We start from the raw sequence: 25392 nt of genomic DNA on the forward strand, positions 1-25392 counted from the left end.
ATAATGATTATGGAAATATTTTTTGTCAACAAGTACCTTTCCCTACAGGGCACTTGCTTACACTAATCTAATTTAACCCATAGGTAGGTCACAGATTACTAGGCCAATTTTACAGGTAAAGATATAAAATCTTCGAGCCTTGAGTTGCCCAGTATTATTTGACTAGTAAACTAAGACGTTGGAAGTACATCAAGTGCTCTCAGGGTTGCAGAACAGTTAAGTGGTGCCACTACAATCCCACAAAGGACTTGGACCCAGGGTTGTGTGGCAGGGAGTCTGGTTTTCAGTGGGATAGTGGAGACACTGAGAAAAATGGGCAGGGAGGATTGCATTTGAGTTTTAGCTAGAAGGCTGCCTCTAAGAACAAGGAGAAAGGGTATTACAGCTTCCCCTTGTTAACTTATTGAAAATATTAACTATATTCTAAAAGGTATTCTCCTTGGAAAATTTTAGGGACTTAGAGTGTTCACTTGGAGATTTCAAGCTTACAATCATCAAAAAGATTAAGCCATGAAAAATTCACTCTCTTCTCTAAGCTTATATAGACTTTTCTGATTCAAGCACAACCCTAGAAACATATAGTACATTACAATGATGAAACGAAGCTGTATCTTATCACCTATAAAAAAATACAGGTATTATGGAGAAGGCATTCTGGGCCACAGGATTTTTGTGTGGAGAACAAGAGAGAATTGGGACTTTCCTCATAACTTTTCTGTATAAGAAAGTCTGTTTTCAAGGTAGATGATTTATCTTGAAAGAAATTCAAGTAGCTTTCTATGAAAATCACTAAATTGCAGCAACATATTGTTATGCTTTGGGACCACTTTGAGGACAAGAGTTTTGACATTTCTTCAAACCTGAACTAATAGCTCACACCCTCAGACCACTGAAAGTGTTCAATTTTGGAATAAAAGAAAAAAGTACAAATAAGCCTTGATAGAGAGAGTGCTGGCCAGAAAAGACAATTATTCCTATGCAGGTCCTGGGGCGGCTGTGGCAACCAGGCAGTTAGAAAAAAAAAAATCGTGAAGCATTCCCATGAGCAAACACTTAAGTGCTAAATGGCACCATGTGCTTATTTCATTCTCAGAATAGCCCTGTGGGGTAACTATGAGGCTTAAATGGGGACATAACTTGCTGAGGGTTGCACCATTTGTAGGTAGAAGTGGGATTTGAGCCCAGATTCTATGATTCCAGAACTCCTTTTCTTTTGACTACTACACATGTAACTCCCCAAATGACTTCAGTTAACTGGGCCTTGAATCACAAGGATCGTCTTTCATTTTTCAGGCATGTACTGAGTGCTTCAGGTTGAAGAATAGGCCATGAGAATGGAGGAAGTATTAGTACCATGTTCACCCACATTATGTAGGGTGGAATGAGTAGGATTCACTCTGGAGACGTGGACTCAACTGCTGGCCCTGCCACCGACCAGTTGAGGGCTTTGGGCAAGGTTTGCCTTTGTGAGCCTCTGGGTATTTGTCTGCGAAGTTGGCATGATATTTAACTCCCAGAAATGCTATACATTTTCAAATATCAAATGTAACAAAGCATTTTATAAATTGTAAAATGCCATGCAAATATTAGCTTCTATCACTTGCACAGGAGCCTCTTTGATGATGACACTGAGTTTGCAGCCAGCTGGCCATAAAGATGCCAAACACGCAGGCATGGGAAGCTTTTCTCTACTGTTTAGCGTTGTGCCTCAACTATGAAATTGCTGAGGAGGGCATGGGAGACGAGTTTGTTGACAGGTGTAGGGCTCCACTGAGGGGCCAGGACAGGAATTCAGGCACATGTGTGTGGCACACACAAGCACGTTCCCTCCACTATCTCTTGGCTTTCTCTCATGTCCTTAACCACCTCTTCTCAACTTGCCAAAAGCCACGCTAGCGAACAACAATTAGAAAAGAGGAATAAAGAGATGATCATAGAATGACTTCACACCCCTATTTAGAAATTGCACTAAATCATGCTCAGAGAAACTCATTCTCAGCTGCAGACACTTAGAATGTTCTCCTGAATGGCTAAATAAATGAATCTTACCTGCAGAAATGCTGCACTCTGGTAGCACGGGCGTCCTTACAGGGGCTGAAGCAAACACCACTCATGTCGGTAGCTAAAAGCTCGCTCTTAAATAACTTTGGGTTTACTATTTCTCCCACAACTTCTGAGATCTGTCTGTGTGCAAGATAAAGGAGTGTCAACCATGAGAATTTGCCTGGGCTTCACTTGTGCTTGTATTAGTGCAATATATGGCATACAGCCTGCACTTTCAACTCCCAAAGTGGCCTGGAGGAAAGGTGCGTCCTGTGAAGTAATTTATAGGCATAACACTGGTTTTATGTCAGGCTTCCCGTGGGTATCTTGAAATCTTTATTTCTACACTGAGGACACAAACACCTCCTTAGTTCTGTTAGGAAAATGTGAAACACAGTTGCAGCATCATCTAAACAAGTTGATTGTCAGGATTCAATATTTTCTCCCAATTTGTATTATGAAAACTTATCAATACAGAAAACTTTGGGAAATGGCACATAAATGTTCTAAGAACCCAAACTTGAACCAAACAGTCAAGCCAAACATTTTACCTTTTTTTTTTTTCAACAGATTCATCAATAATCATCTCACTCCCCAGCTCAAAAATATTGAGACTTCCAAATGCACTAAGAATAACATACAGTTGCCTGTCATGGCCTCCCTTATCTCTCCCTCACCTCTCATTCTCTACTTTTCTGCTTTTTTTTTTTTGAGATGGAGTCTCACTCTGTCACCTGGCTGGAGTGCAGTGGTGTGATCTCGGCTCACTGCAGCCTCCACCTCCTAGCTTCAAGCAATTCTCCTGCCTCAGCCTCCCGAGTAGCTGGGACTATAGGCACGTGCCACCACACCCAGCTAATTTTTTGTGTTTTTAGTAGAGACGGGGTTTCACCATGTTGACCAGACCATAGATCTTGATCTCTTGACCTTGTGATTTGCCCACCTTGGCCTCCCAAAGTGCTGGGATTACAGGCATTAGCCACTGTGCCTGACTGCTTTCTTTTTTTTTTTTTTGAGACAGAATCTCACTCTGTTACCCAGGCTGGGGTGTAGTGGCCCAATCTCTGCTCACTGCAACCTCCACCTCCTGGGTTCAAGTGATTCTCCTGCCTCAGTCTCCCAAGTAGCTGGGACTACAGGTGCATGCCACTGCGTCTGGCTAATTTTTGTAGTTTTAGTAGAGATGAGGTTTCACCATGTTGGTCAGGCTGGTCTGGAACTCCTGACCTCAGGGGATCTGCCCGCCTTGGCCTCCCAAAGTGCTGGGATTACAGGCGTGAGCCACCATGTCTGGACACCATATTTGCTTTCTATCTCCTCCTCTCTATCTCTGGCTGAACCGTTTGAAAATAAGCAAATATCATATTATACTGCAAATACTGAGCCCTCATCTCCTAAGAAGGAGTTATTCTATATAACCCCAATAAAATGATGAGACCTGATAAAATTAACAATTTCATACTATCATCTAATCCATATTCAAAGTTCCCCATTTGTCTCAAAGATCCAATTAAGAGTCATGCATTGCATTTGGTTGTGATATCTCTTCAATATCCTTTTGTCTGGAACAGCTCTGCTTCATCTTTCTAAAAAAATTATTGATTTATCTATTCACTGACTTTTTGAAGAGTCCAGGCCAAATGTCATGTAGAGTGCCCCATATTCTTGATTTGTCTTTCTTTTCTCATGGTGTCATTTAACTGGACTTCTGTTCCCTGTATCTTCTTCAAACTTCAAGTTAGAATTAGAGAGTTGATTATACTCAGATTAAATATTTTTATCAAGAAAATGTCATACATGATGTGGAACACTTTATTGCAAAACATTAAAATGTCTAGTGTCAGGCTGTTGTTCCATTATTAATGATGGCAAATTCAGTCACTAGGGAAAGTGGTGACCACAAGATTTCTCCCTTGTTCGGGCACATTTCCCACTTTATAATTGCTAGAAGTCTGCGGAATGGTACTTGGGCACCATGTGACTCTTGCTCCCCATAATCTTTCACCTAATGGTTCTTTAAACTATAGTCTTTATTTTTTAGAGCAGTTTTAGGTTCACAGGAAATTGAAAGCACAGATTTCCCACATAATCCCCACCTGCCCCAGTCCTCCCAACATCAACATCCCCCACCAGAGTGGTCCATTTGTTACAATTGATGAACCTACATTGACACATTATTATCACTCAAAGTCCGTAGTTTACATTAGGGCTCACTCTTGGTGTTGTATGTTCTATGGATTTTGACAAGTGTGTAATGACATGTATCCATGATTACAGTATCATACAGAGTAGTTTTACTGCCCTAAAAAATAGTCTGTTCTCTGCCTATTTATCCCCACTTCCTCCTAACCCTGGGGAACCACAGAACTTTTTACTGTCTCCATAGTTTTGCATTTCCTAGAATGTCATATTGTTGGAATCATACAGTATATAGCCTTTTTAGATTAGTTTCTTTCACTTAGTAATATGCATTTAAGATTCGTCTGTGTCTTTTCATGGCTTGATAGTTTATTTCTTTTTAGCACTAAATAATATTATTTTATCTGGATGTACCACAGTTTATCCATTCACTTAAAGACATCTTTGTTGCTTCTGAATATTAACAATTACAAATAAAACTTCTATAAATATCTATGTGCAGGTTTTTGTGTCAACATAACTTTTCAAGTCCTTTGGATAAATACCAAGGAGCACAACTGCTGGATCATGTGGTAAGAGTATGTTTAGTTTAGTAAGAAGCTTCCAGACTGTCTTCCAAAGTGGCTATAACCATTTTGCTTTCCTTCAGCAATTAATAGGAGTTCCTGTTGCTCCACGTCTCCATCAGCATGTGGTATTGTCAGTGCTTTGAATTTTAGCCATTCTACTAAATGTGCAATGCACCTCAAGATTTTAACATCTGTTAATGACCCTTGCCTAAATCAGTGATTACACTTGGGCATGAAAATGCTGATTTTCTAGTTTAGCATTCTTTCCACATTTATTAACTGGCCTTCCTCTGTAACAGGTATCATTTTGCTGTATTTTTTTAATAGTCTTTCTTGCAATGGAGGATTCTAAAGAAAAGAATGACTCTCACCATGTGGATTTGTTATGCTTTGTGCCTCTCAGGGACTCACAGAAAGCTACATGTAACTGACTGTTACTCCATCATTTTGTATGCCTCATAAAACCTAGCCAATGTCTTGCATATGACAAGTATTCAGTAATTATTTATTGAATTTAATTTAATTTAAGAATGAGTCTCAAATGCTATCATGGATGTGGTCAATGAACTCTCAGTGTACTTACAAGTTCCTGGAAAACAAAAATGATATGAATCAAATATATAATGGCAGAAGAGAAATATTTTGAAATACTTTTAAGATTAACATCCCATAATTACTGCTTTACATATCTCTCTCCTCCACTAGACTATGAATTTCTCAAGGGGAAGGACTGGACAAATTAACTTTGTATTCCTGGTACCCAATGAGGGGTAAAACTCACAATCAATTCTTCATAAATATTTGCTGAATCCACGAAATAAAGTTGTAAGATTGGTTCATTGTTGGACTATTTTTTTTCTTCTGTCATTCTAGTATGTCTTTTTAAGCCTGTGGCTTCCTTTCTTAGGTTCACCATGTGGCTGCTGGTGTTCAACAATCACATTTAAGTTCCAACCAGGAAGAAGGGGAAGGCAAAAAGCAAAAAGAGCATTTTCCCCAAAGCCTGCTTCTGCTACTTCTGCTTTTAGCTTCACGACAACTGTCATCTGCAGAGGAAGTTGAGAAATGTCATCTCTTAGCTGGGCATATTGCTCCTCCAATAACATTAGCATTCTGTTACTAGGTAAGCAGGGGTAGTATTCTGGCAAGATCAGTTTGGGGCAAAATTTCCTATTTTTCTATTTTGAAATCCTTAGTAGAGTTGTCTTCCCTCTAGTTGAATTCATCCTTCCAATTTCTCTTCTGAGAAAATAATACTTTGATACACACATCTATATACACATATGTGTACATATATACACATACACAGACATGTACACAAATGCATATATGTATATATTTGCATTGTGTTATATATGCACATAGAAATATATGTTTCTATACATATGCACATAAAAGCATATATGTATTTATATCCACCATCCCTGTATACACTCACATATACATACACACATATACACACACATACACACACACACACACACACACCTTTTTGTCATAGCTCTCTGGGAGTTCTCTGGGATTGACTGGGATTGATGTTGAGGAAAAGGTGTGAAAGATCAGAACGAATAAGTGCAGGGAATAGAATTAGACAGGACTCTCTTCTACAATGTCCAGGGGCAGTTTTGATTAGTACAGTACTAGATATTCTTACTCAGGTTTTTGCTTGTTTATTCAGTAATCACTGAACTTACACTATAAGCATGTATTCCAAATAATCATTTTGTTTTCTCTTGTAATCACTGATGTCAGGTGCCAAGTGTCTGCCCTGCAATAGTGGGCATGACATTTGGGAAGCCCACTGTCCAGCTGCAAAGGAGGCCTGAGCTTAGCTAGGCCTCTGGACACTGCTGATCAGAAGAGCGAGTGCACAGGTGGATGCGCTATCTATGCGCCTTTGTCTGTCTTCATACCTTGGGCCTTGGGAGGTTTGTTCTCAAAACCCCGTTCCTGCCAAAAACTTTTGTATTTGCTACTGACAGTTTAATCATCAATTCATCATAGCACACCTACATCCCATACAGCCATGAGGAACACAAGACCCAGGTGAAGAAACAGCACTTTATTTCTCTAGAGTTGAATTGTCTTAGCTCTCAAGGCTCCATTTCTACTTACAGCAGATGATTAATCTTACCATTTCCAAGTTATTCCTTATGTCTTCTAGGTTAAAGCCTAGTCTTTTTTGGATAGATAAGTCAAAATTCTACACTCTGCCTCATTCCATTGGGTGGCATTAAGGCATTGCAGGAAGGCACAGGTCTTCTTGGTTGACTTTCTCTGTGGCTTTTGATGTTGATGTCACCCTCCTTTTCACTCTTTGTGGACTTCTACATCACAGTGTCTGCTGCTGGGATTTCCACCCTGTTCTGCTTTCCAGGGGCCAGGTCATGCATGTCACTCTGCCTGCTCTGCCCATCAGCAATTTCTTTGCTATCCTCTCTGAGTTCCTGCTAGGCCTTTCCCTAAAAAATGTGGTGGTTGGCTAATGATGCCCTGTCCATGTAGTGGCCCATTGCACTTGCAGATTCTGTGTTCCTTCCTTTCCTTGGCTGAGTCTTCTAGGGTATACATTAAGAAGCTCATAAAATGTTTGTGTTTCAAATTTGTGTCTTCCAAAGTCTTGCTTTGCAACTCAAATCCCTGTTTTTGACCCTTTGCTCTGGTTAATTTTTTAAATCATATTTTTGCTTGGTCAATACATCTCAGGCACAGGACATCCCACTAGGAGCACTACATTGGGTAATGTTTCATAGGACCTTTCTGTGTAATCCCTTGAGAGTCAGTGGGTCACTGCTGGTCACCTGAGCAGGCATGCACAGACTGACGGCTGACTTGACTATGCCTCTCAGATTTTACTATAATCTTTCAATTGTTAACTGTGAGGTAACATTTCACATGAAGAAAAACTTAGGAGCGACACTATGAAAGCCTCATTATGCTGACCTCTGCCCTAGCCCTGGAGTAGGAATGCAGAAGATTAAACATCAGAGGCAGAAACATTCAATGAAAGGAGGAATCCAAACCCAGATGAGGTTGCCTCCTGTCCAAAGAGGAGCCAGCATCCTCAGCAAAGCTTTTAGTTCCAGAGAATATAGAGCTTTTGACCCAGACCCAGATGCATTTCAGTGGCTGGGTTAGGGGTCTAGCAAACTTAATAAGGGTTTGGGGTTTGCTCTAAGCAGCTAGGGCTGTGCTTTCTGCTTAATAAAACAGCCAGTAGCCATCTGCTATGGTCTGAATATTCCCCAATATTTTTATACTGGTACTTAATCGCCAAAGTGATAGTATTGAGGTGGAGGCATTAAGAGGTGATCAGATCATGAGGGCTCCACCCTCATGAATGGATTAGAGCCCTTATAAAAGGGCTCTAGAAAACTAGCTAACTTGTTTTTCATTTTTGCCCTTTCTGTCTTTTCTGCCATGTGAGGACACAGCATTTATTTCCTCCAGAAGATACAGAACAAGGCACTATCTTGAAAGCTGAGAGTGGCAGCCCTCACTAGACACTGAATCTGCTGGTGCCTTGTTCTTGGGCTTCCCAGCATCCATACCTGTGAGAAAAACATTTCTATTATTTATCAATTACTCAGTCTAGGATTTGTCATAGAAGCATAAGTGGACTAAGAGAGAAATTGGTACCAAGAATTGGGATATTGTTAATAACAAATACTTGAAAATGTGAAAGTGGCTTTGGAACTTGGTAATGGGTAGAGGCTGGAACTGTTTGAAAGTGCATGCTAGGCTGGGCACGGTGGCTCACGCCTGTAATCCCAGCACTTTGGGAGACCGAGACAGGTGGATCACGAGGTCAGGAGTTGAAGAAAAGCCTGGTCAAGATGGTGAAGCCCCGTCTCTACTAAAAATACAAAAATTAGCTGGGCATGGTGGTGGGCAGCTGTAACCCCAGCTACTCAGGAGGCTGAGGCAGAGAATTGCTTGAACCTGGGAGGCGGAGGTTGCAGTGAACTGAGATCGCGCCACTGCACTCCAGCCTGGGGGACAGAGTGAGACTCTGTCTCAAAAAAAAAAAAAAAAATGCATGCTAGAACAAGGCTAAATTGCTGTGAGCAGAGTGTTAAGGGTGATTTTGGTGAGAGCTCAGAAGAAGAGGAAGAGGTCTTCTTAGAGATTGTCTAAGTGATTGTGATCAGAATGTTGGTAGAAATATAGACAGGAAAGGCGATTCTGATAAGGTCTTAGATGAAAATTAGGAATATGTTATTGGAAATTAGACAAAAGGTCATTCTTTTTACAAAATGGCAAGTAACTTGACTGAATTGTGTCTGTGCTTTGGGGAAAGCAGAACTTGCAAGCAATGAACTGTGATATTTGGCAGAGGAAATCTCCAAGTTAAGTGTTCAGGCTGCTGCATGGCTTCTCTTGATGGCTTATGATAAAATGCAAGAAGAGAAGATGAATTAAATATGGAATTTATAATCCTAAAATACACAGATATTAAAGAGTTGGAAATATCTCAGCCTAGCCATGTAGTAAAAAAAAGAAAAAAAAGGCTTGTTTGGGGGAAAATACTAATGGCGGCTGGCAAACTACAATATTATTCATCAAGACAGTGGGAGAATGACCCAAAAGGCATTTCAGAGATATTTGAGGCTGCCACTCCCATCACAGGCCCAGAATACCAAGATTTTGAGGGCACAGTGGTTTCAAGGGAGGGGCCCAGGGCACCAGTGGGACCTTACAGCTCTCTGTCCAGGCCTGCCTCAAGTCTCTGCTTCATATATTCTGGTGCAGCACTCCCAGGCTGCCCCAGCTGTGTCTCAAGCAGGCCCAAATGTTGCTGGGGTTGCCGCTACAGATGGCTCAAGCAGTAAACCTTGGCAGCATCTGTGTAGTGCCAAATCTTTAGGTGGGCAGAGTATATGAGCTGTGGAGGCATGGCTACCTCCACCTTGAAATAAATCTCTGTTGCTTGTAAATTACCCAGTCTCAGATAATTTGTTATAATGGACTAAGACATGAAGATCAAGCAATTTCTTTAGCTGAGTTTTAGAAGAAACGTGACACACAATTGGAAACGTTCAGGCATCAAGGCAGGAAGCAACAGTGCATGATACGAGTTCAAGATGATGAAAACTCTTACTGTGCTGTGCAAATAGCCGCAGGATTTGAAGTGAATGTAAATAGAGCAATAGAAGAAATAGCTGGCTGGGAATGGGAACACTGCTATTATTGGAGAGACTCCAGCTATGTGTTCAGGGGAACTCAGTGAAGGGTACTTACCAACATAAGTGAGAAAGGGGGTTGTGACAAAAAGGATAAATATGTCCCAGAGGAAATGATGCCATCAAAAAACCTCGCATACAGAATTCTCAGAGGTAATTTTATGATGTCAAAAGCACAATGCATAAAATATTAAAAGCTGATCCAAACTTAGAAAGGTGTGGGAAAATTCAAGAAAGCATAGGAAAGATGCTTTTCCCATATGGTAAGTTACATGATGAGAAGACAAGCATGGGTGGAACTTAATACATGCTTTACAAAGAAATAAAACACTTTAATTCTCAATGTTTCAAGTGTTTTAAATTACTTTGTACAAAGTAAATACTAGTTCTACTATTTTTAAGTTTCCTCATACATTTATAACCAATGGTAATAGAGCTTTTAATGTTTTGGCAAAAATTTTTAATGGTTATGGCATAATTGTAATATTTCCCATTTACGGTTGAGATTGTTTTATATGCTTACAACTTGCACTGAAATTTTTTGGGTCATTTTTATGGTCTTGCACTACTTTTGCTATGCTTTCAATGTTTGTTGCCTCCCAAAATCATATTAAAATTCAATTGCCATTGTAATAGTATTGAGAGGTGGGACCTTTAAGAGGCAATTCAGCTGCGAGGGGCTTTGCCCTCATGAGTGCATTAATGCCATTATCACAGGAGTGGAATTCTTATAAAAAGATGAATCTGCCCCCCTCTTGCCTCTCTCTTTCACTCTCTCTTTGCCCTTATGCCATGTCAGGATGAAGTAAGAGGGCCTTTGCCAGATGATGATGGCTCAATCCTGGACTTCCCGCCCTCTAGAACTGTGAGCCAATACATTTCTGTTTATCGTAAATTACCCACTCTATGGTATTCTGTTACAGCAGCACAAAATGAACTAAGGCAAATGGGCAAAATGAGGAATGTCATTATGTAATAATATCTCATTGTATGTTTCTATTTTTTTTTAAGAGATGGAGTCTCACTGTAGTGTCCAGGCTGGGCATGAACTCCTGGATTCAAACAATCCTCCCACCTCAGCCTCCCAAGTAGTTGGGACTACAAGTGCATACCACTGTGCCCAGTGTGTTTTTTAAATTTTGAGATAATTTAAAACTTATAGAAAATTTGTGAAATTGTTACAGAGAACTCCCCTATCTCTTTCTTTCTATGTATATGTACATAATAATAACACATATATATTTTTCATCCATTATTATTTTTCTTTTTCTGCATGATGTCTCATTGCATTATTGCCACCTAATCCTCCACTGTGTGTTTCCACAAAACAAGGACACTCCTGCAAAACCACAATACAACCATTTACATCAGAAGGTGAATATGTAGCTCACAGTCTCCATTCAAATTTCTCCAAACACTCCAATGTTGTCTACTATTGTTTGAAAACATCGACTGGGCACAGTGGCTCACATCTGTAATCCCAGCACTTTGGGAGGCCGAGATGGGCAGATCACCTGAGGTCAGGAGTTTGAGACCAGCCTGGCCAATATGGTGAAACCCTGTCTCTACTAAAAATACAAAAATTAGCCAGGCATGGTGGTGGATGCGTATAATCCCAGCTACTTGAGAGGCTAAGGCAGGAGAATCGCTTGAACCCAGGAGGCAGAGGTTGTGGTGAGCTGAGACCACGCCATTGCACTCCAGCCTGGGCAACAAGGGTGAAACCCTGCTCAAAAAAAAAAAGAAAGAAAGAAAGAAAGAAAATATCAATAATATATATTCATATTGATATTATTTGAAAATATAAACGTCAAGATATTTAAAAAATATATATTACCTGGCTCTGCCACCTAAAAGCCTAGAATTTATTACTGCCCCAGTAGTAACAAATTGGATTGTTTTTTTGCTTGTAGTTGACATTCTTTTTAATCTCCCTTACTCTGAAACCATTCCTCAGTCTTTTCTGGGTTTCCACGGAAACCCAGGAAAATTTTGGCTTTCCAAAATTCCGTGACCTTGGCAATTTTACAAAGTGCAGTCCTTTTACTCTGTAGGAAGACCCTCAGCATGGGTCCATCCAATGTGTCCTCATGTCCAGATATAGGTCATTCAAGCATTTTTGAAAGGAATACCCAGAAATGACAATCCTTCCTCCACCTCAACCCTGACCCTGCCATCAACTTCTCATCTCACCTCACTCCTGGCGCCTCTGAGGGGAGGGAGAGGAAGAAGAAGAAGAAAAAGAAGAAGGAGAAGGAGGAGAGAAAGGAGGAGGAGGAAGAGGAGGAGGAGGCAGAGGGGGAAGGGGTGGAGGGGGAGGAGGAGGAGGAGGAGGAAAGTCTTGTAAGCTTTGGAAATGACCTTGCTTTCTGGCACAATAAGGTACCTCAGGCCCACCTTAAACTTCTATATCAGAACTCAAATTAGCTGTTTCTGTAAGAATTTTCATTCCTGGGTCGGGCGTGGTGGCTCACACCTGTACTTTGGGAGGCCAAGGCAGGCGGATCACCTGAGGCCAGGAGTTCAAAACCAGCCTGGCCAACATGACAAAACGCCATCTCTACTACAAATATATATATATAAAAAATAGCCGGGAGTGGTGGCAGGCACCTGTAATACCAGCTACATGGGAGGCTTAGGAAGGAGAATCGCTTGAACCCGGGAGGTCTCCACCTCCCGGTAGAGGTGAGCCGAGATTGTGCTATTGCACTCCAGCCTGGGCAAGAAGAGTGAAACTCTGTCTCAAAAAAAAAAAAGAATTATTGTTCCTTCCAGCAGAATATCAGACACCAAAATCTAGGATCTTAGGTTGCTCATTACTACTGAAGCAGCAATAAATTCTAAGGTTTTTTTTTTTTTTTTTAAAGTGGCAGAGCCAGATAGTATATATTTTAAAATATCTTGACATTGACATTTTCAAATCAACTTTAGCATTGAATCATTTTAACTTGTTTTTTATTCTATATACATCTTTTTCCTCTTACATTGAAAATCTTTCTTCCCATAGCTCTTCTTCATTTTCTTTCAATATAAGGAGAATAGTTACAAAACACATAAATATTACTACAAACAGCAAAACTGCTGAGGAAGTTCAAAATTCCCCTGAGTTTCTTTTTATTTCTAGAATGCCTTCCACTATAAGCACATGGTTAAAGTACTATGTTCTAAAGGAAATTGAGATACATGTTCCTGTGTTATTAACTTGATATACACACAGGTACATTTGTTTCAGTTTGTTTAAAATTAAAAATATTCTTTTAAGATTTAGTTTTAGTTATTGTTTGGAATAGGTAATTCATATTAATTATTCGAAGAACAAAGTTATATAGCCAGGTACTCATGGTGGATATCCTTCTATTCCAGCCATAACTACCCCATCCCATTTTTTGTGCTTTCTCTCTCTTTCTCTACGAATATATACATATATATATACATATATATACACGTCCATATGAATTTATACACACACACACACACACACACATACACACAAACACATGATTTTGATGTACCTAAGTTTATCTTTTAACCCTACCGAACTCTGACATGGCCTGGAATTCTTGTCAACCCCTCCTAGAGATTAATCACACTTGGCAACTGGGGTGAAATCTAGTTGCCATCTCACAACATCGAGCAAAGCTCTGCTCGATGTTGGCTTTCCCAATTACATGAGCTATTCAAATCCTTATTGATCCAGCTGCATTTGGCACAAGACAGGGCAGAGACTACTCAGTGGTCTATTGCAAGTTCCAGGTGCCAGGAAATGAAGTATCTGCCTTGTTTACAATTGCATTCCTGGCACATATTATGTGCTTAATAAATATTTTCTGAATATGTGAAATAACAGTCACCATGAAGAGAAGTCTGCTGACCTGAAAACTTAGCTTCTAATGTGTTTGGGTTCTGCTCAGCATGCCCCATCAGATGTGGACACCAAGAAGCTCACTACAAAGACTAATGTGGGTCCTTGATGGTCAGTGGTGCTGAGGTGTTCCAAGTTAAAAGTCAACTGACTTCTCTGGCAGTAAGTTCATTGGGCTGCATATTTTCTACTCAGGTGAAGGGAGGGAAAGGATAGTGGCTCTCAAATTGTGGTCTCAGCAGTGTGGTCTCAGCAGCAACAGCATCGCCTTGGAACTTGCTGGAAATACAAATTATTGGGCCTCACCCCAGACCTATGGAATCAGAAACTCTGGGGAGCAGCCCAGCAATTTCAATTTGAACAAGGCCTGCAGGTGATACTGGTGCACACTCACGTTTGAGACCCACTGGGCAATAATCTACAGAGGACTGAGGATCTTTGCCAGGTGCAGAGAGAGAAAGGTGTCTGGCCAGCATCAGAGCATAAGAAAGCAGGTGAGAGGGCTCAGGTCCTCAGACTGAGGTGTCAAGGAGGGATTCCAAGCCTGTAGAAGGCGGGAGAGAACAAAACATGTCTTGAACCTCTGCCTGAGCTTGGCATACTGTGTAGCAACAGGGGTTCAGGTGGAAGGGTAGGAAATAAACAAGATCCTGGATTATGTTACAGAATCTTGTTTACAAATACAAACAACAACAACAACAACAAAAAAGTCGTGACCCAACTTTTGGAAGTGTAACTTCACAATGGATTAGCTAAGAGTTTGACTTATTTTTATCTTACCTCAACCACTTGTCATGGGTTCGTTAGTTTACCCATGAATGTGTGGTAGGCAGAAGTCTAAGAGGGCCGCAAGGTTCCTGCCTGTGGTGTGCACACATCTTTTCCAAGTCATTCAATCAAACAAGAATGGAGGCATTGCTGTGAGGGGATTTTGCAGATGTTCTTAAGGTCCCAAGTTAGTTGACTTAAGAAAAGGGAGATTATCCTCTGTGGATCACATCTAACCAGGTAAGCCCATTAGAGGAGACTGGGCTGACCAGGCTCTTGCTGACAGAAGAGACTAGAAGGGTAAGAGGAATTCAGCATGAGGGAGATTCTCCATGCTGATTTGAAGGTGGAGGGAACCATGTGACAAGGAATGACTGTGAGTGGCTTCTGACAGCCAGCAAAGAAATAGGACTTCAGACCTGCAACCACAGGAATGGATCCCTGCTACTCCACATGAGCTCGAATGAGAAACGTAAGCTTCAGATGTCCTTGTCAGCACCTGGAACAGAGGACCCAGCCATGCTGTGCTCAGGCTTCTTCTGTCCTGTAGACTGTGTGAAATAAATAAAGTTGTTTTAAACAGCTGAGTTTGTGTTACTGTGTAACATCAAACATAGGAGATCAAGAATCCTAAATTAAAGGGAGAAGAGGACTGCCTGGTGGTTATCACACATCCTGCTAGTCTCGTCCTTGCCTCCATCAGCACGGTGAAACCTTCCTGATAGGGACTGGTGACCTGGGAGGTTGCACCCTCAGCAGAACTGAGGACCCGCCTGAGCAGGCCAAACGGGCAGCTTTGAAAATGGAAAGGAAGGGCAGGTATCAGAGGCACTGTAGAAAGAAGTGACTATGTGACCACTGTGACTGAGGGATCCAATGGTGGACGTAGTCTAAATGCCTTTGCCTGTCATTTAATGTCTTTGTAATTTGATTCTAACTAGTTTTTCTGTTAGATTTTTTTCTGGATTTTTTCCCTGTCACTTAAGTTCTGTGCCACCTAGCTTACCCAGAGTCCAAGGAGCAAGCTGTTTATATTCCCAACTCTCTCACTCGCTAACACTTTTCCCAGCCTGGAATGAGCTCTCTTCTCTTCTTCCACAATTGACAATTGACAGTCCCAATTGACAGTTTAGAGACAGAGAGAGGCAGTGGCCCTTCCATGTGTTGTCTCTACTAAATACTGAAAAATGAAGAAATGCCAAATAAGAGTCACCACACCTGTGGCTTTAAAAATTGACTGTTACATTTTTAACCCAGAAAATACACTGTAGTATAATTTTGATAATGACACAACTACAGGATTTATTTTTTAAAAAAGCATTAACTCGTGATGCTTGCTATGTATTCTATAATGAGCATAATCTTCTTCCAGAACTTTGAGTGGACTCTATGACAATGTATGTAAGATTTAGTAATGTGAGGCCCAGGCCTGATTCCCACCTCCCAGAGCCCTCTTGGCTCCATCCTGCCTAAACACCACATTGTTAGACGAGTGGGTCCTCCATCCCATCACAGCTCTGATTCCATTTTCTCCATTGCAGTGCACAGTGACAGCACTTTTCCTGAATTATTGTCTGATCTGTTTATTTTTGCCTTCTATTGATAATCAATTTTAAGTACATATGCCATTTGTGTGCTATCCATTCAGCTGATTTTTAAGCCATTCATTTATTTAACCAACGTTTTTCTTTTTTAAATTTCCAACTTTCATTTTAAGTTCAAGGGTACATGAGCGGGATGTGGAGGTTTACAACATAGGTAAATGTGTGCCATGGTGGTCAGCTGCACAAATCATCCCATCACCTAGGTATTAAGCCCAGCATGCATTAGCCATTCTTCCTCCCACTCCCGACCCTATGGCAGGCCCTAGTGTGTGTTGTTCCTTCTCCTTGTGTCCATCCATGTGCTCTCATTACTCAGCTCCCACTTATAAGTGAGAACATGCAATACTTGGTTTTCTGTTCCTGCATTAGTTTGCTGTGGATGATGGCTTTCAGCTCCATCCATGTCCCTGCAAAGGACATATCTTTCCTTTTTATGGTTGCATAGTATTCTGTGGTGTATATGTACCACACTTTCTTTATCCAGTCTATTATTGATGGGCATTTAGGTTGATTCCATGTCTTTGCCATTGTGGATAGTGCTGCAGTGAACATATACGTGCATGTATCTTTATAATAGAATGATTTATATTCCTCATGGTGTATACCCAGTAATGGGATTGCTGGGTCGAATGGTATTTCTGGTTCTAGGTCTTTAAGGAATAGCCACACTGTCTTCCATGTGGTTGAGCTAATTTATGCTCCTGCCGATAGTGTAAAAGCATTCCTTTTTCTCCACAACCTCACCAGTATCTGTTGTTTTTTGACTTTTTAATAATAGCCATTCTGACTGGTGTGAGATGTGGTTATCTCACTCATTGTGGTTTTGATGTGCATTTCTCTAACGATCAGTGATGTTAAGCTTTTTTTTTTCATGTGTTTAACAAACATTTTTCAAATACCTGTTTTGTTGAAAGTTGTATACTAGGCTCCAGGGATTACAGCTATGACAAAGCACCGAGGATTATTTTTTTCGTAGTAAGTCTAGTGGGAGACAGATAGAAAACAACTAATTGAGTAAAAATATTTAATTCCAGTTATATGTCATGGAGGAAAAATGCATTGCTCTCAGAGAATCCAAAATAGATCTTACCTAGAGAGATTGATGTGCTTTGTTACCCCATAGTGAGTGTTTCACGTTATAAGGATACAGTAGCTATTAATTAATAGCTTAATGAGCAAACCAGGATTTCTGCCATTCATAAAGTACATAAAACCTTACTCTTTACATGAAATAGATGCAAAAAATCACAGTAGATTTAAAGATAAACACTTTGATAGTTTTTTATATTTCAAGTTTATTGTGGATAGATACCTGGTTTCCTTTTACCTTTTGGAACTTACTGAAATATATCCATGGTTCTGAAATAGAGTTGTAGGACAGTAATGGATCTTTTGAAGTTATTTGGCCTATTGCCAGAATTTTGACATCAAAGTAAAGTTCAACAGTGAGCCTAACACTAAGAAACTACATTGGCTAATAAAATGGCCTGGAAGACTTGATAGAACACTTACCATTTGGGGCTGTTGTGAAATTTTCTTAATTGTACAAGCCAGCTTTGAAATTTTTACAACATAATAGGTACAAGGTTAATTGTAACAAATGTAGTTTGCCCAGACTATTTAGACTAGATTAAAAGTGATAGCAAAAAATTAATAAAAGTGATTTTGAAGAAATATTTTTAGTTGAATATAGAAATGCAAATTGGATCCGCTATCATAAAATTTAGAAAGGTGTTTCTCCCTTATTAGATATTAGGTTTTGTTTTTACATAACATCCTATTTTATGCAGAGCACAACGTGCAGCCAGTCTAGGCCTGCAGAGCTCGTGAAACTAAAATAAAGACATCCATTTCAATAATGCCCCAAATGAGATTGATGGCTATCATCGCTCCCTAACTGATCAAAAGGAATCAGGGCTTGGGGAGGTCATGCGTAAGTCACACAAGTGACCCAAAGCTAGACCCTGTCCTGGTACTCTTTCCACAATATCACATCTGAAAAATTTATACAATTAAATGTATATATATAATTAAAAACATACACATAAATAAAACCAACTCTAACAGAACAAAATCCATTTAAGAGAAGTAGGAGTTGCAGAACACAGCTTTCTTTATCGATTCTGTCAAACTCCAAGGACTTAGGGGCGCTAGAGACTTATACTTTATTAAAATAATCCACGAAAATTACTGTATGTGTGTGTGTGTTTTCATTAATAAAATATTGTCTCTTTCCTGGAGTTGAGTCTTCCTTCCTGTAAGCAGATTTGAATGTTGTTATAATATATTTTGAGCCACTCTAAGAAGGGAGGAAAGGACACAAAGTGGAAATGCTCACAATTCTGGTCGTCTGAGGAATGTGAAATCCCTCTGACACTGCAGTGATTTCACCAGTCCCATTTTTCTGCTTGTAGTTCTGCAAATGGCCAACCATACTGAACAGCTTGGTCTGACTGCAGGTGCCAGTCTCCCCATGGAGCTGCTTCTGAGATCTTTTTTTCTTCTGCAATCTCAGGGATTTTTATCTGCTCATTACTACATGCTGGGTCTCAGCAACCACACAGGGTGTTCAAGTCGAGTTTAATCAAGAGACTATTTACGGAGATGTGGACAGGGCATGAGGAAACTGCATGGGAGAATGAGGTGACCAGTGGCTGGTGACAGAAGGCTGCCCTGGGTCTGAAGGAGCAGAGGCAGGGACATTACCAGAACCGAAGGCAGAGAGGAAAGATGGAGAGGAATCTGAGACCTTTAGTTCGGGGGCCCAGTTAGCCAGTGACAACCCTGCAGGGAAGAAGCTGGAGGTATAAATAATTCATAACTTACTCTTTAATCTGCTGGTATGTCCACTCAGTCAAACTCAACATGAAGCCAGAGAACAATGCAGCCCATCCATGTAATCTATTTAGGTAGCTTCTGGCAGGTGTGGAGCCAAGTAGATGCTGTTTATCAGACAGTTGCTCACAAGCCTGTAACACAACCTGGCCACTTTAAGAAAGCCAAAGCATGGCCATCAGTTCAGGCAAAGCTTGACTTTGCTTCAAGACAATGGGTTTTGAGCTCTTAGTAGAATTTGCTTTATTTCAGTCTCCAACTTCAGCAGTCCCTCAGCCCTCCCTCCCTCAATATCTGCTGAGTGAGCTTGATGTTGGGTTTGTAACCTAGAACTTACACTTTGAATATCTTTTCTGGTGGACACAACCTAGAAGAATGTCTAATAGCTATTTGTTAGAGAAATGAATAGGCATAACTCGCTTGACCTTGTCTCAACTAATCCTCTGTTGAACTTGTCTCTGGTTTGGTCAGCATGTTTGTTTTCTCACAACCCAAGTGCTCTATTTGATTGACAGCCCTCACTGCCTTCCAAGGCTAGAACCTGTTCCTATCCTGTTGGGATGGGACAAGAGGGAACTTCTTGGCAAAGTGCACTTGAGAATACCAAAGTTTGGAAGCGTTGACTTTTCCACCTTCTTTCCTATTCTTTTAAGAATTTTTGGGGGAGGAGCCAAGATGGCCGAATAGGAAAAGCTCCCGTCTACAGCTCCCAGCGTGAGCAACGCAGAAGACGGGTGATTTCTGCATTTCCATCTGAGGTACTGGGTTCATCTCAATAGGGAGTGCCAGACAGTGGGCGCAGGTCAGTGGGTGCGCGCACCGTGCGCAAGCTGAAGCAGGGCGAGGCATTGCCTCACTGGGGAAGCGCAAGGGGTCAGAGAGTCCCCTTTTCTAGTCAAAGAAAGGGGTGACAGACGGCACCTGGATAATCAGGCCACTCCCACCCTAATACTGCGCTTTTCCGACAGGCTTAAAAAACGGCGCACCACGAGATTATATCCCGCACCTGGCTCGGAGGGTCCTACGACCATGGAGTCTCGCTGATTGCTGGCACAGCAGTCTGGGATCAAACAGCAAGGCGGCAGCGAGGCTGGGGGAGGGGCGCCCGCCATTGCCCAGGCTTGCTTAGGTAAACAAAGCAGCCGGGAAGCTTGAACTGGGTGGAGCCCACCACAGCTCAAGGAGGCCTGCCTGCCTCTGTAGGCTCCACCTCTGGGGGCAGGGCACAGACAAACAAAAAGACAGCAGTAACCTCTGCAGACTTAAATGTCCCTGTCTGACAGCTTTGAGGAGAGCAGTGGTTCTTCCAGTACGCAGCTGGAGATCTGAGAAGGGACAGACTGCCTCCTCAAGTGGATGCCTGACCCCTGACCCCTGAGCAGCCTAACTGGGAGGCACCAGCCAACAGGGGCACACTGACACCTCACACGGCAGGGTACTCCAACAGACCTGCAGCTGAGGGTCTTGTCTGTTAGAAGGAAAACTAACAAACAGAAAGGACAACCACACCAAAAACCCATCTGTACATCACCATCATCAAAGACCAAAAGTAGATAAAACCACAAAGATGGGGAAAAAACAGAACAGAAAAACTGGAAACTCTAAAAAGCAGAGCGCCTCTCCTCCTCCAAAGGAATGCAGTTCCTCACCAGCAATGGAACAAAGCTGGACGGAGAATGACTTTGATGAGCTGAGAGAAGAAGGCTTCAGACGATCAAATTACTCTGAGCTATGGGAGGACATTCAAACCAAAGGTAAAGAAGTTGAAAACTTTGAAAAAAGTTTAGAAGAATGTATAACCAGAATAACCAATACAGAGAAGTGCTTAAAGGAGCTGATGGAGCTGAAAACCAAGGCTCGAGAACTACGTGAAGAATGCAGAAGCCTCAGGAGCTGATGCGATCAACTGGAAGAAAGGGTATCAGTGATAGAAGATGAAATGAATGAAATGAAGCGAGAAGGGAAGTTTAGAGAAAAAAAAATAAAAAGAAATGAGCAAAGCCTCCAAGAAATATGGGACTATGTGAAAAGACCAAATCTACGTCTGATTGGTGTACCTGAAAGTGATGGGGAGAATGGAACCAAGTTGGAAAACACTCTGCAGGATATTATCCAGGAGGACTTCCCCAATCTAGCAAGGCAGGCCCACGTTCAGATTCAGGAAATACAGAGAACACCACAAAGATACTCCTTGAGAAGAGCAACTCCAAGACACATAATTGTCAGATTCACCAAAGTTGAAATGAAAGAAAAAATGTTAAGGGCAGCCAGAGAGAAAGGTCGGGTTACCCTCAAAGGGAAGCCCATCAGACTAACAGCAGATCTGTCGGCAGAAACCCTACAAGCCAGAAGAGATAGGGGGCCAATATTCAACATTCTTAAAGAAAAGAATTTTCAACCCAGAATTTCATATCCAGCCAAACTAAGCTTCACAAGTGAAGGAGAAATAAAATACTTTACAGACAAGCAAATGCTGAGAGATTTTGTCACCACCAGGCCTGCCCTAAAAGAGCTCCTGAAGGAAGCGCTAAACATGGAAAGGAACAACCGGTACCAGCCACTGCAAAATCATGCCAAAATGTAAAGACCATCAAGACTAGGAAGAAACTGCATCAACTAACGAGCAAAATAACCAGCTAACATCATAATGACAGGATCAAATTCACACATAACAATATTAACTTTAAATGTAAATGGACTAAATGCTCCAATTAAAAGACACAGACTGGCTAATTGGATAAAGACTCAAGACCCATAAGTGTGCTGTATTCAGGAAACCCATCTCACGTGCAGAGACACACATAAGCTCAAAATAAAAGGATGGAGGAAGATCTACCAAGCAAATGGAAAACAAAAAAAGGCAGGGGTTGCAATCCTAGTCTCTGATAAAACAGACTTTAAACCAACAAAGATCAAAAGAGACAAAGAAGGCCACTACATAATGGTAAAGGGATCAATTCAACAAGAAGAGCTAACTCTCCTAAATATATATGCACCCAACACAGGAGCACCCAGATTCATAAAGCAAGTCCTGAGTGACCTACAAAGAGACTTAGACTCCCACACATTAATAATGGGAGACTTTAACACCCCACTGTCAACATTAGAATCAACGAGACAGAAAGTCAACAAGGATACCCAGGAATTGAACTCAGCTCTGCACCAAGCAGACCTAATAGACATCTACAGAACTCTCCACCCCAAATCAACAGAATATACATTTTTTTCAGCACCACACCACACGTATTCCAAAATTGACCACATACTTGGAAGTAAAGCTCTCCTCAGCAAATGTAAAAGAACAGAAATTATAACAAACTATCTCTCAGACCACAGTGCAATCAAACTAGAACTCAGGATTAAGAATCTCACTCAAAACCACTCAACTACATGGAAACTGAACAACCTGCTCCTGAATGACTACTGGGTACATAACGAAATGAAGGCAGAAATAAAGATGTTCTTTGAAACCAATGAGAACAAAGACACAACATACCAGAATCTCTGGGACGCATTCAAAGCAGTGTGTAGAGGGAAATTTATAGCACTAAATGCCCACAAGAGAAAGCAGGAAAGATCCAAAATTGACACCCTAACATCACAATTAAAAGAACTAGAAAAGCAAGAGCAAACACATTCAAAAGCTAGCAGAAGGCAAGGAATAACTAAAATCAGAGCAGAACTGAAGGAAATAGAGACACAAAAAACCCTTCAAAAAATTAATGAATCCAGAAGCTGGTTTTTTGAAAGGATCAACAAAATTGATAGACCACTAGCAAGACTAATAAAGAAAAAAAGAGAGAAGAATCAAATAGACACAATAAAAAATGATAAAGGGGATATCACCACCAATCCCACAGAAATACAAACTACCATCAGAGAATACTACAAACACCTCTACGCAAATAAACTAGAAAATCTAGAAGAAATGGATAAATTCCTCAACACATACACTCTCTCAAGACTAAACCAGGTAGAAGTTGAATCTCTGAATAGACCAATAACAGGAGCTGAAATTGTGGCAATAATCAATAGCTTACCAACCAAAAAGAGTCCAAGACCAGACAGATTCACAGCTGAATTATACCAGAGTTACAAGGAGGAACTGGTACCATTCCTTCTGAAATGATTCCAATCAATAGAAAAAGAGGGAATCCTCCCTAACTCATTTTATGAGGCCAGCATCATTCTGATACCAAAGCCAGGCAGAGACACAACCAAAAAAGAGAATTTTACACCAATATCCTTGATGAACATTGATGCAAAAATCCTCAATAAAATACTGGCAAACCGAATCCAGCAGCACATCAAAAAGCTTATCCACCATGATCCAGTGGGCTTCTTCCCTGGGATGCAAGGCTGGTTCAATATACACAAATCAATAAATGTAATCCAGCATATAAACAGAGCCAAAGACAAAAACCACATGATTATCTCAATACATGCAGAAAAGGCCTTTGACAAAATTCAACAACCCTTCATGCTAAAAACTCTCAATAAATTAGGTATTGATGGGACATATCTCAAAATAATAAGAGCTATCTATGACAAACCCACAGCCAATATCATACTGAATGGGCAAAAACTGGAAGCATTCCCTTTGAAAACTGGCACAAGACAGGGATGCCCTCTCTCACCACTTCTATTCAACATAGTGTTGGAAGTTCTGGCCAGGGCAATTAGGCAGGAGAAGGAAATAAAGGGTATTCAATTAGGAAAAGAGGAAGTCAAATTGTCCCTGTTTGCAGATGACATGATTGTATATCTAGAAAACCCCATTGTCTCAGCCCAAAATCTCCTTAAGCTGATAAGCAACTTCAGCAAAGTCTCAGGATACAAAATCAATGTACAAAAATCACAAGCATTCTTATACACCAACAACAGACAAACAGAGAGCCAAATCATGAGTGAACTCCCATTCACAATTGCTTCCAAGAGAATAAAATACCTAGGAATCCAACTTACAAGGGATGTGAAGGACCTCTTCAAGGAGAACTACAAACCACTGCTCAATGAAATAAAAGAGGATACAAACAAATGGAAGAACATTCCATGCTCATGGGTAGGAAGAACCAATATCATGAAAATGGCCATACTGCCCAAGGTAATTTACAGATTCAATGCCATCCCAATCAAGCTACCAATGACTTTCTTCACAGAATTGGAAAAAACTACTTTAAAGTTCATATGGAATCAAAAAAGAGCCCGCATTGCCAGTCAATCCTAAGCCAAAAGAACAAAGCTGGAGGCATCACACTACCTAACTTCAAGCTATACTACAAAGCTACAGTAACCAAAACAGCATGGTATTGGTACCAAAACAGAGATATAGATCAATGGAACAGAACAGAGCCCTCAGAAATAACGCCACATATCTACAACTATCTGATCTTTGACAAACCTGACAAAAACAAGCAATGGGGAAAGGATTCCCTATTTAATAAATGGTGCTGGGAAAATTGGCTAGCCATACGTAGAAAGCTGAAACTGGATCCCTTTGTTACACCTTACACAAAAATCAATTCAAGATGGATTAAAGACTTAAATGTTAGACCTAAAACCATAAAAACCCTAGAAGAAAACCTAGGCATTACCTTTCAGGACATAGGCATGGGCAAGGACTTCCTGTCTAAAACGCCAAAAGCAATGGCAACAAAAGCCAAAATTGACAAATGGGATCTAATTAAACTAAAGAGCTTCTGCACAGCAAAAGAAACCACCATCAGAGTGAACAGGCAACCTACAAAATGGGAGAAAATTTTCGCAACCTACTCATCTGACAAAGGGCTAATATCCAGAATCTACAATGAACTCAAACAAATTTACAAGAAAAAAACAAACAACCTCATCAAAAAGTGGGCGAAGGACATGAACAGACACTTCTCAAAAGAAGACATTTATGCAGCCAAAAAAACACATGAAAAAATGCTCATCATCACTGGCCATCAGAGAAATGCAAATCAAAACCACAATGAGATACCATCTCACACCAGTTAGAATGGCGATCATTAAAAAGTCAGGAAACAACAGGTGCTGGAGAGGATGTGGAGAAATAGGAACAACTTTACACTGTTGGTGGGACTGTAAACTAGTTCAACCATTGTGGAAGTCAGTGTGGCGATTCCTCAGGGATCTAGAACTAGAAATACCATTTGACCCAGCCATCCCATTACTGGGTATATACCCAAAGGACTATAAATCATGCTGCTATAAAGACACATGCACACGTATGTTTATTGCGGCACTATTCACAGTAGCAAAGACTTGGAACCAACCCAAATGTCCAACAATGATAGACTGGATTAAGAAAATGTGGCACATATACGCCATGGAATACTATGCAGCCATAAAAAATGATGAGTCCATGTCCTTTGTAGGGACATGGATGA

General features: G+C 40.8%; 1 long non-coding RNA gene across 1 annotated transcript in view, besides 2 other annotated features; it reads right to left on the bottom strand.

The window, feature by feature from the left end:
• The window catches only part of LOC105375849 (uncharacterized), a 39940-nt gene that overhangs the window by 616 nt on the left and 13932 nt on the right, over positions 1–25392 (bottom strand). Inside the window, exons 3-6 of the long non-coding RNA XR_928910.2 lie at positions 18995–19156; positions 17068–17149; positions 14984–15115; positions 2050–2184 (exon numbers count right to left, since the gene is read on the bottom strand). This is a non-coding gene — a long non-coding RNA (uncharacterized LOC105375849). The remainder of the gene's footprint in view (positions 1–2049; positions 2185–14983; positions 15116–17067; positions 17150–18994; positions 19157–25392) is intronic.
• Positions 19523–20023: an enhancer, noted in NCBI's record as "H3K4me1 hESC enhancer chr8:57327640-57328140 (GRCh37/hg19 assembly coordinates)". NCBI's record gives its function as "activates a minimal SCP1, AML or CMV promoter by ChIP-STARR-seq in naive and primed H9 embryonic stem cells {active_cell/tissue: H9 hESC(naive and primed)}" and the evidence as "EXISTENCE:reporter gene assay evidence [ECO:0000049][PMID:30033119]".
• Positions 20024–20524: an enhancer, noted in NCBI's record as "H3K4me1 hESC enhancer chr8:57328141-57328641 (GRCh37/hg19 assembly coordinates)". NCBI's record gives its function as "activates a minimal SCP1, AML or CMV promoter by ChIP-STARR-seq in primed H9 embryonic stem cells {active_cell/tissue: H9 hESC(primed)}" and the evidence as "EXISTENCE:reporter gene assay evidence [ECO:0000049][PMID:30033119]".

Source organism: Homo sapiens, chromosome 8, assembly GCF_000001405.40.
Source record: "Homo sapiens chromosome 8, GRCh38.p14 Primary Assembly".
In the NCBI taxonomy this organism is placed as follows: Eukaryota; Metazoa; Chordata; class Mammalia; order Primates; family Hominidae; genus Homo; species Homo sapiens.